This window comes from Homo sapiens, chromosome 1 (genome assembly GCF_000001405.40).
Source record: "Homo sapiens chromosome 1, GRCh38.p14 Primary Assembly".
Classification (NCBI taxonomy): Eukaryota; Metazoa; Chordata; class Mammalia; order Primates; family Hominidae; genus Homo; species Homo sapiens.
In genome coordinates, this window is record NC_000001.11 from 210416673 (window position 1) to 210430429 (window position 13757).

General features: G+C 38.3%; 1 protein-coding gene across 18 annotated transcripts in view; it reads left to right on the forward strand.

The window, feature by feature from the left end:
• The window catches only part of HHAT (hedgehog acyltransferase), a 348963-nt gene that overhangs the window by 89345 nt on the left and 245861 nt on the right, over positions 1 to 13757 (forward strand). For all 18 annotated transcript variants that reach the window (XM_047424804.1, NM_001122834.4, NM_001170564.3 and 15 more), the window contains one exon: positions 1482 to 1653. In XM_047424804.1, coding sequence (XP_047280760.1) covers positions 1482 to 1653 — 172 coding nt within the window. The remainder of the gene's footprint in view (positions 1 to 1481; positions 1654 to 13757) is intronic.

The following is a 13757-nucleotide window of genomic DNA, read 5'->3' on the forward strand; positions in this document are numbered from 1 at the left end:
TATCTGTATCTATGAATAATCAAAACATCCCTCTCTTGCCTTTGGTGTTTGGCTCTGAGCTGTCTCCTAATGCTGCCCTGTAGCTGGTTGTCTGGGATGCCACATGGGAAGGATGGGAAGACACACATGGAGGCGGTTAATGATAGATATTAACTACCAAGTATCCAGTGCTTCTTGTATGCCTAAGTACTTCACATACTTCATCATATTTAATCACCACAACAATGTTTTTTACTTTAGGAGGAAACCCAGACTCGGAAAGGTTAAGTAACTTGCTCAGGATCACACAGCTGTGTAGTTTGTGGTAGAATTTGATCCTGATCCTCTGACTCTAAAGTCCATTTTTTAAAGAAGAAAATTCCTTTTACAACAACATCAAAAATAACAAAATATTTAGGACTAACTTTAATCAAAGAAGTACAAGACTTGTACACTGAGCACTACACACATTGCTGAAAGAAATTTAAAGAAGACCTGATAAATGGAAAAACAGCCCGAGTTTATGGAGTGAAACTCAATATTGTTTTGATGGCAAAGCTACCCGAAGTGACTTATTTTACTTTTGTTTTGTTTTGTTTTTTAGACAGTCTTGCTCTGTCACCCAGGCTAGAGTACAGTGGTGTGATCTTGGCTCACTGCAACCTCCGCCTCCCAGGTTCAAGCAATTCTCCTGCCTCAGCCTCCTGAGTAGCTGGGATTACAGGCATGTGCCACCCCATGCCCAGCTAGTTTTTGTAGTTTTAGTAGAGATGGGGTTTCACCATATTGGCCAGGCTGGTCTCGAACTCCTGACCTCAGGTGATCTGCCCACCTGGGCCTCCCAAAGTCCTGGGATTCTAGGTGTGAGCCACCATGCCCCACCTTATTTTACATTTTCTAAAGTCTGTATTCTTAACTGTTATGCTCTGCTGCCTACTAAGCAAGAGACTTGTTCCACATACTGTCTGCCATGTTTCAAAAAACAACTTAGGGTGAAATGACATGCCCACACATCATTTTCCCTTGCTCTCAGCCCATCTTTTTCTCTTTCTCTTCTACCAGTCCTGTGTCTCTTGTTGACTGGGACCTGCTTTTGCCAGCCTCAGACATGAGTAGGTGATGGAGGAATTCAGGCAGGGTGGCACCTGTAGCCCGAAACTCCAAATTCCCAGTGGGGAAAATACACTGAGTGCTGCCCTCCCCGCTTGGGTTTTTCCAGGGCTGATGCTGGAGTGGAGGGATCAGTGCAGAACGTGTCTTTGGCTCTTGGCACTAGGCTAGCTTGTTGACCCCCAACCCCCATTCTTATTTTGAGACAAATGTTCAAGCTGAAATACGATTCTTCCAACCAAGAACATTGAGTGTTCCCAAGACAAACCAAACCAACCCTCTGTCAGCTGGCATAGCAATAATATTTGTGGGAAGTTTATGAAAAATCTTATCTAAGGGACTGTTTTAGGAATCAAGGCACCATCGAATGACCTCTTTTGTTTCCACTTTAGATGCAGCAGCAGGAGCATGACTCCCTGAAGGCCAGCCTGTGTGTCCTGGCCCTGGGGCTGGGCCGCCTTCTTTGCTGGTGGTGGCTGGCCGAGCTGATGGCTCACCTGATGTACATGCATGCCATCTACAGCAGCATCCCCCTCCTGGAGACTGTCTCTTGTTGGACCTTAGGTAATTGTGGGAATCACCAACAGTGGGATGAGCCCCAATAGTCCAACAGTTAGCATCAGAATGGAGCTGGAGTGGGGGGTGAGCAGGGGTGCAGGTGCCTATAGCAAACCCTCTTTATTATTATTTTTTAACCTACTCCTCTTGTGGCCAAGATTGTGCATGTGAGAAGTGGTTGATGTAGCTGACGGAAGTGAGGGCTGTGCTTGTAGTCTGGGGACCAAGAATGGTGGCATTCTTCTCTGTAATGGGATCCTACTGACCTTAGCTGGGTCCACATCTTCACAGCGTAGCCAATATTGTGTTTAGCAGTAGAAGGCAGGAGTTGCTGGGGGCAGCTTTGAGTTCATTCTAAGAGAGAATGCTCCAAGATTGAGTTGTTCCACAGTCTTCCTTGTTCTTTGTGCATAAGGTATTAAAGAATATGAGGCTGGGTGTGGTGGCTCATGCCTGTAATCCAAGCACTTTGGGAGGCTGAAGCGGGCAGATCACTTGAGGTCAGGAGTTTGAGACCAGCCTGGCCAAGAAGGTGAAATCATGTCTCTACTAAAAATACAAAAATTAGCTGGGTGTGGTGAGAGACACCTGTAATCCCAGCTACTCGAGAGGCTGAGGCAGGAGAATCACTTGAATCTGGGAGGCGGAGGTTGCAGTAAGCCAAGATCATGCCACCACACTCCAGCCTGGGTGACAAAGCATGACTCTGTCTCAAAAAAAGAATGAGTTTCAGGATCACACAGCCATAGGTTTGAGTTTCAGCTTCACCAATGACTGGTGTGTAACCTTGGCAGTTTACTTAACCTCTCGGTTCCAGCACCCTCATCTGTAAAATAGGGAGACTTAGCTTTGTGGAATAATAGGAGGATATTAGGCAGCGCTGCACATTGAGGGTGTACCTTGTACACTGTCTTGGGATAGAATAAATGGCGTGTGTGTATTTCCCTCTGTAGATCCCCTTTCCTTATCTACCCTTTCCTGTGTGTCTGCCAGGGAGGTGGCATGGAAGTCTTACTTCCTCAGCAGGGCTAGTCTCCAGTATAGGATTTGTCTGTGGAGAAACCACTGTTCTTTTATTCCTCTGGCCAAAACAGCAGAGCCCACGCCCTTTTCTGAATAAAATCTCTTCACTTCCTTGTTCTCTCTCCTTTTGAGGACTCCCGCAGTGGCTGACTTCTGCCTGTGCTCTGACCTCCAGCCTGTAGCTCCAATAACTGTGTGATCCTCCAGGCAGATCAAGCTGTTCCCTGCTGAGGGCAAGAGTACAAGCCTGACTCCTTCTTTATCTGTTTAACATTTCATAGATCTTCTTAAACAAATCTTGATTGTTCTTGGTATCACACGTACTTAATCAGAATGTTTCCAAGGACGAAACCTTTAAGATTGAAAAAATGCTAAGCTAGTTTAATGATAGTCTCTTTCTTCCAAACAAAACTTTTTATAGTTTGGAGTTGCTAATATTGTAAAGTTTTAATGATACAATTAGACAAACAGAATATGATTAAATGATAGCTTATACTAAGTCAGATCCCAGTTGTATGGGATACAAACTAAGGGACTGTTTCAGCTTGAGGGTTTTTAAACTAAAAGTAATGGAAGACACAACTCAAAATGGGGCTTAAACAATAAGGAAGTTATTCCATATAACAATGATACTTAAGATCGGCACTAGGGGTAGTAAATTATGTGACTCTGATGTCACCAACACACCTTTTGTGTGTCCACCATTCAGCTTAAGAACTAACCAGAATCGTAGAAGCCCTTAGTTTGTACTCGTAATCCCATCAGCCTCTATTACCCTCTCTGAAAAGATTACCTGAATATTGTATTTATCCTTTTCTTCTTTTTCTTTGTACTTTTACCACAGTTAAATCCTTAAAATTGCATATGTTAACACCTCGTCGTATGAATAGATTCATGCTTGTTATGTATGTTCTGTGACTTGGTTTTCTTGTTTAACATTATGTTTTTGAGAAGCATTCATGTTAAGACATGTAACTAGGTAGCACTTATTTTCACTGCTGTATGGCATTCCAGTGTATCCATATACAAGAAGTTATTTGTCCGTTCTACATATACGAGGACACTTGAGTTTTTTACAGGGTTTTGCTATTCCATATAATGCCATTTCTGTGTCTCTTGGAGCTCATGTGTAAGGGTTTCCCTGTAGGGCCATAACTTTCAAACTCTTTGGCACATTACCCACAGTAAGAAATACATTTTGCCCTAATGCTAAATAACGAGTTGATGGGTTCAGCCCACCAGCATGGCACATGTATACATATGTAGCTAACCTGCACATTGTGCACATGTACCCTAAAACTTAAAGTATAATAATAATAAAATTTAAAAAAACAAAAAAAAAAACAAAGAAATACATTTTGCATTACAGGTGTGTGCATGAGTGTATGCATGTCTCTGTGTGTGTGTAAACTCTCACAAAGCCATACTTTACCTTGAACCACCTGCAATGAATACTGACTGATATTTTCGGTTCCATATTATTCTATTTTAAAATATTGGAATATTTTAAAATATTTGAATCTCTGAATTGGGTGAGTCACTATCCAGAGTTTGTCAAGCATTGTTCAAATATATATGTATTCTGAAATAAGTATTGTGGGCAGTATATTTGTTCAGATTTATAAGAAAAATTATTTTTTAATTTGGCGAAACCAATTTATGCTCTTCTCGGCAGTGTGTTTCCATTGCTTGAAATTCTCACCAACACTTGATACTACTCAAAGCAATTTATAGATTTAATACAATCCCTATCAAAGTACCAGTGACATTCTGCACAGAAATAGAAAAAAACCCCTAAAATTTGTGTGGAACCACAAAAGATCCTGAATAGCCAAAGCAATCTGAGCAAAAAGAACAAAGCTGGAGTCAGAACACTGCCAGACCTCAAAATATACTACAAAGCTGTAGTAACCAAAACATCATGGTACTGGCATAAAAACAGGCACATAGATCAATATAAAAAAATAGAGAACCCAGAAATTCACGTATCTTTTAATTTTGAAAATCTGGTGGGTGTGAATTTTATCTCATAGTTTTAATTTGCCTTTCCTTGGCTACTAATAAGTTTGAGCATCTTTTCATAGGCTTAAAGGACTTTGGTATATCATTTCTTAATTATTTTTGAGACAGTCCCACTCTGTCACCCAGGCTGAAGTACAGTGGGGCGATCTCAACTCACTGCAACCTCCACCTCCTGAGTTGAAGCAATTCTATGCCTCAGCCTCCCAAGTAGCTGGGATTACAGGCATGCACCACCGTGCCCAGCTAATTTTTGTATTTTTAGTAGAGACGGGGTTTCACCATGTTGGCCAGGCTGGTCTTGAACTCCTGACCTCAAGTGATCCACCCACCTCGGCCTCCCAAATTGCTGGGATTACAGCTATGAGCCACTGTGCCTGGCCTGGTATATAATTTCTAATGAAATAACTGTTAACTTTTGCCCATTTTTCTAATGGGATTTCTGTCTTTTTCTTGTGGATTCATAAAATTTATATTATTTAAAAAAAGTCATATGTGTAGTTGCAAATATTGACATCTTTTGGTTTGTGGTTTGACTTCTAATGTTTTTATGTTGTTTTTTTGACAGCATAAAAGGGTTTATTTTAATGTAGTTGCATTTAGTCATTTTTATTTATCATTTTTACTTTTTTGGGTCTTTCAAAAATAATTATCTCCTACTCCAAGATGATAAAAATATTCTCCACTTTCTTCTAAAGCTTTTAAAGTTAAAAAAATCTTTAGTTATTGTGTACATTTGCATCATAGACTGATAAAATATAAACCATTCAAAATAATTTTTTAAATTGACAAATAATAATTGTACATACTCATGGGGTGCGTAGTGATGTTTTGATACATACAATGTATGGTGATCAGATCAGGGTAATTAGCATATCCATCATCACAAATAGTTATCATTTCTTTGTGTTGGGAACATTCAGTATTTTCCTTCTAGCTATTTGAAACTATGTAATATATTATTAACTCTAGTCATCCTACAGTACTATAGAACACTTGAACTTATTCTACCTATTGTAATTTTGTATCTTTTAACAAATCTCTCCCTATCCCTCCCTTTCCAGCTTCTAGTATTTTATCTTCTGTTTTTTCACTTCTGTATGAACATTTATTAGCTTCCACCTATGAGTGAGAACATGTGGTGTTAACTTTCTGTTTCTAGCTTATTTCACTTAACAGAATGTACCCCAGTTCCATCTTTGTTGCCTCAAACAACAAAATTTCATTCTTTTTTATGGTGGCATGGTATTCCATGGTGTAAAAATACCACATTTTCTTTTTTTTCTTTTTTTTTGAGACGGAGTCTCGCTCCATCGCCCAGGCTGGAGTGCAGTGGCATGACCTCGGCTTACTGCAACCTCTGCCTCTTGGTTTCAAGTATTCTCTTACCTCAGCCTCCTGAGTAGCTGGGATTACAGGTGCCCACCACCACACCTGGTTAATTTTTATATTTTTAGTAGAGACGGGGTTTCACCACGTTGGCCAGGCTGGTCTCGAACTCCTGACCTAAAGTGATCTGCCCACCTCAGCCTCCCAAAGTGCTGGGATTATAGGCAGGAGCCACCATGCCCAGCTTTAAATACCACATTTTCTTTATCCATTTATCTGTTGTTGGACACCTAGGTTGATTACATATCTTGGCTGTTGTGAATAGTGCTACAGTAAACATGGGGTATAGATGTCTCTTGAATATAATGATCTCCTTTTCGTTGGATAAATTCACAGTACTGGGATTGCTGGATCATATGGTAGTTCTATTTGTAGTTTTTTGAAGGACTTCCATACTGTTCCCCATAGCGGCTATACTAGTTTGCATTCCCACCAACAATGTGTAAGAATTTACTTTTCTCTTCATCCTCATCACCATTTGTTATTTTTTTGGCCACTTTCATAATAGTCATCCTAACTCTGGGGTGAGATGATATCCCATTGTGGCTCTGATTTGCATTTCCCTCATGATTAGTGATATTGAGCTTTTCACATATTTATTGACCATTTCTTTTGAGAAAATATCTGTTCAGATCATTAGCCCATTTTTAAATCAGATTGTTTAGTTTGCTGTTGAGATGTCTGAGTTCCTTGTATATTCTGGATATTAATCACCTGTTGGATAAGTAGTTTGCAAATATTTTCTCCTATTCTGTAAGTTGTCTTTTCACTCTGTTGTTTCCTTTTCTTTGCAGAAGCTTTTTAGTTTGATATATCCCATTTGTTTATTTTTGCTTTTGTTGCCTGTGCTTTAGAAGTCTTATTTATAAAACCTTTCCCTGACCAATGTCCTGACGGATTCTCCTAATGCTTTCTTCTAGTATTTTTATTGCTTCAGGTATACACATAGGTCTTTGATCCATTTTGAGGGTGAGAGGTGGGGGTCTGGTTCCATTCTTCTGCATATGGGTATCCAGTTTTCTCAGTACCATTTGTTGAACAGATTGTCCTTTCCTTAATGAGTGTTTTTGGCATCTTTGTCAAAAATCAGTTGGCTGTAGATATGTGGATTAATTTCTGGATTCTCTATTCTTTTATATTGATCTACATGCCTGTTTCTATGCATGTACCATGCTGTTTTGGTTACTACAGTTTTGTAGTATATTTTGAGGTCTGGCAGTGTTCTGACTCCAGCTTTGTACTTTTTGCTCAGAATTGCTTTGGCTGGTCAGGATCTTTTGTGGTTCCACACAATTTTTAGGTTTTTTTCTTCTATTTCTGTGAAGAATGTTACTGGTATTTTGATAGGAATTGTATTAAATCTATCAATTGCTTTGAGTAGTATTGTCATTTTAACAATATTCTTTCAATCCATGAGCATGGGTTGTTTTTCCATTTCTTTGTATCCTCTTCAGTGTTCGTATTTCTTTCGTCAGCGTTTTGCAGTTTTCCTTGTGAAGGTCTTCACCTCCTTAGTTATTTCACATTTTTTTAGCTATTAGAAATGGGATTGCCTTCTTGATTTCTTTAGTTCACTGTTGGTGTATAGAAATGATACTGATTTTTGTATAATTGTACCCTGCAACTTTACTGGATTTGTTTATCAATTCAAATAGTTTTTTTGGTAGAGTCTTTAGGTTTTTTTTCTTTTTTTTTAACTCTCTGTGTTCAGGGGTACGTGTGCAAGTTTATTACATAGGTAAATTTGTGCCATGGGTTTTTTTTTTTTTGTACAGATTATTTCATCACCCAGCTATTAAGCTGAGTACTCATTAGTTATTTTTCCTGATCTTTTCCCTCCTCCCACCCTCCACCCCGTGATAGGCCCCAGTGCATGTTGTTCCCTTCTATGCCTCCAGCTCCAACCATGTCCCTGCAAAGGACATGATATTGTTCTTTTTTATGGCTGCATAGTATTCCATGGTGTATATGTACCACATTTTCTTTATCCAGGCTATCATTGATGGGCATTTAGGTTGATTCCATGTTTTTGCTATTGTGAATAGTGTTGCAATGAACATACGCGAGTGTGTCTTTGTAACAGCACTATTTATATTCCTCTCAGTATATACCCAGTAATGGGATTGCTGGGTCAAATGGTATTTCTGTCTTTAGGTCTTTCAGGAATTGCCACACTGTCTTCTATAATGGTTGAACTAATTTACACTCTTACCAACAGTGTATAAGTGTTCCTTTTTCTCCACAACCTGGCCAGCATCTGTTATTTTTGGACTTTTTAATAACAGCCATTCTGACTGGTATGAGATAGGATCTCATTGTGGTTTTGATTTGCATTTCTCTAATGAGCAGTGATGCTGAGCTTTTTTTTCCCCACATGATTCTTGGCCACATGTATGTCTTCTTTTGGAAAGTCTGTTTATGTCCTTTGCCCATTACTTAATGAGATTGTTTATTTTTTTCCTTGTACATTTAAGTTCTTTGAGATGCTAGACATTAGACCTTTGTCAGATGCATAGTTTGCAAAAATTTTCTCCCATTTTGTAGGTTGTCTGTTTACTCTGTTGATAGTTTGTTTTGCTGTGCAGAAGCTCTTTAATTAGATCCCATTTGTCAATTTTGCTTTTGTTGCAATTGCTTTTGTCCTCTTCGTCATGAAGTCTTTGTCCATGCCTGTGTCCCAAATGGTATTGCCTAGATTGTCTTCCAGGATTTTTATAGTTTTGGGTTTTACATTTATGTCTTTAATCGATCTTGGGTTAATTTTTGTATGTGCTATAAAGAAGGGGTCCAGTTTTAGTCTTCTGCATGTGGCTAGCCGGTTACCCAGCACCATTTATTGAGGAGGGAATTATTTCCCCATTGCTTGTTTTTGCCAGGTGTGTTGAAGTTCATATAGTTGTACATGTGTGGCCTTATTTCTGGGTTCTCTATTCTGTTTTGTCAGTCTATGTGTCGGTTTCTGTATCAGTATCATGCTGTTTTGGTTACTATAGCCCTTTAGTGTTATTTGAAGTTGGGTAGCATGATGCCTCCAGCTTTGTTCTTTTTGCTTAGGATTGCCTTGGATATATGGGCTCTTCTTTGGTTCCATATGAATTTTAAAATAATTTTTTTCTAGTTCTGTGAAGAATGTCAATGGTAGTTTGATAGGAATAGCATTGAACCTATAAATTGCTTTGAGCAGTATGGCCATTTTCACAATATTGATTCTTCCCATCCATGAGCATGGAATGTTCTTCCATTTGTTTTGTATCATCTCTGGTTTCTTTGAGCAGTGGGTTGTAGTTATACTTGTAGCTATCTTTCACTTCCCTAGTTAGCTGCATTGCTAGGTATTTTATTCCTTTTGTGGCAGTTGTGAATGGTAATTTGTTGCTGATTTGGCTCTCAGCTTGACTGCTGTTGGCATATAGGTATGCTAGTGATTTTTGCACATTGATTTTGTATCCTGAGACTTTGCTGAAGTTGTTTATCAGCTTATGAAGCTTTTGGGCTGAGACGATGGCATTTTCTCAACATCGATAATGTTACCTATAAACGGGTAGTTTTACTTCTTCTCTTCCTATTTGGATACACTTTATTTCTTTCTCTTGCCTGATTGCCCCAGCCAGAACTTCCAATACTATGTTGAATAGGAGTGGTAAGAGAGGGCATCCTTATCTTGTACCAGTTTTCAAGAGGAATGCTTCCAGCATTCGCCTATTCAGTATGATGTTGGCTGTGGGTTTGTCATAGATGGCTTTTATTATTTTGAGGTATGTTCCTTTAATATCTAGTTTATTGAGAGTGTTTAACCATGAATGGATGCTGTATTTTATTGAAAGCTTTTTCTGCATCTATTGAGATAATCATGTGGTTTTTGTCTTTAGTTCTGTTTTTGTAATGAATTACATTTATTGATTTGCATATGTTGAGTCAACCTTGCATCCCAGGGATAAAGCCTACTTGATTGTGGTGGATAAGCTTTTTAGTGTGGTGGTGGATTCAGTTTGCCAGTATTTTGTTGAGTATTTTTGCATTGATGTGCACAAGGATATTGGCCTGAAGTTTTCTTTTGTTGTGTCTCTGCCAGGTTTTGGCATCAGGATGATGCTGGCCTCATAGAATGAATTAGGTAGGAATCTCTCCTTCTCAGTTTTTTGGAATAGTTTCAGTAGGAATGGTGCCAGCTCTTTTTTGTACATCTGGTAGAATTCAGCTGTGAATCCATCTGGTCCTGGGCTTTTTTTGGTTGGTAAGTTATTTATTACTGCCTCAATTTCAGAGCTTCTTATTGGTCTGTTCAGGAATTCAGTTCTTTTCCTGGTTCAGTCTTCGGAGGGTGTATGTGTCCTGGAAATGATAACTTTCTTCTAGATTTTCTAGTTTGACATATTAATAATATTCTCTGATGGTTGTTTGTAATTCTGTGGGGTCAGTGGTAATATCCCCCTTGTTTCTTATTGTGTTCATTTGAATCTTCTCTCTTTATTAGTCTAGTTAGTGGTCTATTTTATTAATTTTTTTTTAAACCAATTCCTGGATTCACTGACATTTCAAGTCTCTAATCCTTTCAGTTCAGCTCTGATTTTGTTTATTTCTTGTCTTCTGCTAGCTTTGGGATTGGTTTGTTCTTGGTTCTCTAGTTCTTTTACTTTTGATGTTAGGTTATTAACTTGAGATCTTTCTAACTTTTTGTTGTAGGTGTTTAGTGCTATAACTTTCCCTCTTAACATTGCCTTAGCCGTGTCCCAGAGACTGTGGTATGTTGTATTTTTATTCTGGTTAGTTTGAAAGAACTTGCTAATTTTTGCCTTAATTTCATCATTTACCCAAAAGTCATTCAGGAGCAGGTCATTCAATTTCCATGTAATTATATGGTTTTGAGTGAATTTCTTAGCCTTGATTAGTAATTTGATAGTGCTGTGGTCCAAGAGACTATGTTATGATTTCAGTTCTTTTGCATTTGCTGAGGAGTGTTTTCTGATTATGTGATCAATTTTAGAGTATGTGCCATGTGATGATGAGAAGAATGTATATTCTGTTGTTTTTGGGCGGAAAGTTCTGCAGACATCTATCAGGTCCATTTGATGTAGTGCTGAGTTCAGGTCCTAAATGTCTTTAATTTTCTGTCTAGATGATCTGTCTAATATTGTCGGTGGTGTGTTAAAGTCTCCCCTTATTGTGGGGGAGTCTAAGTCTCTCTGAAAGTCTCTAAGAACTTGTTTTATGAATCTGGGTGCTCCTGTGTTGGGTGCATATATATTTAGGACAGTTAGATTTTCTTGCTGAGTTGAATCCTTTACCATAATGTAATGCCCTTCATTGTCTTTTTTGAACTTCGTTGGTTTAAAGTCTGTTTTGTCAGAAATTAGGATTACAATCCCTGATTTTTTCTGTTTTGCATTTCCGTCCATCCACAGTTTTACAATGGAAGCATTGTATTGTCTATCCAGAGATCAGTACTGATAAACTCTCAATACTTGTCCTTCCACATCATTTTTTTCCTATAGTTCTTTATACACACATTTATGTTTTCCCCCAAATGAGCTTATACTATATATATATATATATATATATATATATATATATATATATATATATATATATATATATAATTTTGTAGTCTAAGATTCATTTTAGTTAAATGATCTCTATCCTTTCACATTACTAAATTTTCGTTCTTGTTTGATACCCAGACAGTAATCATATTTTACTAAGGTCCTTTATATCTGCTTTGGCCAAGCTGGTATCCAATCTAGGACTACACATTGGATCTAGTTGTTTTGTTCCTTAAGACTGTCTTATTTAGCACCATCCTTTTTTATGACACCAGCTTGTTGAAGGGACCAGGCCAGTTGTCTTACAGAACGTTCTATCACCTGGCTTCTTATAATGTCATTTAGCATATTCCTTTATCCCTTCTGTTTCTTATAAACTAAAAGTTAAATCAAAAACCTTCGTGGGCCAGGTGTGGTGGCTCATGCCTATAATCCCAGCACTTTGGAAGGCTAAGGCGAGTGGATGGCTTGAGTCCAGGAGTTTGAGACCAGCCTGGGCAAGATGGCAAAACCCCATCTCTACAGAAAATACAAAAATTAGCCAGGGTGGTAGTGCGTGCCAGTAGTGCCAGCTACTCAGGAGGCTGAGATGGGTGAATCACTTGAGCCCAGGAGGTCAAGGCTGTGGTGAGCTATGATCGCACCACTGCACTCTAGCAGCCTGGGCAACAGAGTGAGACTCTGTCCCTCGCTTCCCCTCCGCACCCACCTCGCTCCGGCAAAAGACAAAGCTTCATAGATTAAAGAGGTTAATTATTTTTAGCTACAATACCTATCATATCACCTATGAAGTCATAAGATGATACTTAAACTTTTCCCCAATTCTTATGAGAAATTTTAAATATCTAGAATGTTTGAAGGAATTATATAACAAACACAATGGATCTACCATGTAGATCCAACAGTTGTTAATTTTTGCCCCCGAGTAACATTCTCCTACCTAACTACAATTACATATCACACTTGATAATAGTACTTTTCTAATATCTAATATCTAGTCTGTCTTCACATTTTCCTAGTTGTCTCCAAATATATTTTAAAGCTATTTTGTCAACCCAGAATCAGCCAAATGCGTCATTTGGTTTCATGTCTATTAGTCTACTTCGATCTAGAATAGTTCAACCATGTTTTAAAATGATATGACTTTTTGAGGAGTCCAGACTTATTGTCTTATAGAATGTCCCACACACTGGATTTGACTTTTTAAAATTGCGTTATTCTTAAATTTGTTCTTCTATCCCATCTGTTTCTGTAAACTGAAAGTTAGATCTAGATCCTCTAGAGTCCTGATTTAATAAAACAATTTTTTTTTTTGCAAAAATAACTTCATATAGAATGCCGTATGCTTCATATTGTATCTGTGGGATGCGTATAATGTCAGGTGGTCCCCCCTGTTTGCATTGCTAAGTCAAATCACTTGCGTATGGTGGTGGTGCCAGATCTCTCCCTTGTAAAGGTACATTTATCCCTTTGCAATTAGCAAGCAACATGTGAGGTGTTAATTCAGTGCTATCTGAATATCTTCTTCCCCAATAACCTGGAAAATAGTGAATAGTTTTAGCATTTTTTGGTGAAACTTGCTTGAATCAGTTTTTTGAGTGGGAGTTTGAAATGCTGATTTTCCAAATCTATCATTATGCTTGCATTTGATAGGTGGCATTCTTCTGTAAAGAAGACTTTTCCATCATAAACTGGAGCTGAATACAGTTTATCATAAAAAGCCAGGGCAAATGTGTAATCGTTCCTCTTTAAACATCATTTTATAGAATAAGGAGTTCAGTGAAATATTTTCCTTCAATAGTAGTGTCAAATAATTTTATATTTTACAATTCAATGTAGTAATTTTCCTTTTGGATGCTAAAATTGTCCCAAATTTGGTCAAGCTAGCTTCTGTGTTCTCTTGATGAGCCTTTATTTGCCTCTGTTTCCTTAGTTTCTGGAACTGAAAGATATCCCAGTGCTTACCTTATATTTTCCTTAGCCCTGTATTGGAATCAGCCAAATCTTCAAAGCAGCCTTGATTCCTTTTAGTGGGGGAATTATATTTAGGAGCCAAGATCCGAGTCTGTCCATTACTACAGGGTTGTTATTGTTCGGAGGCCTGAACATTTCCAGTGAGTAGACCTGGGGAATATGGTT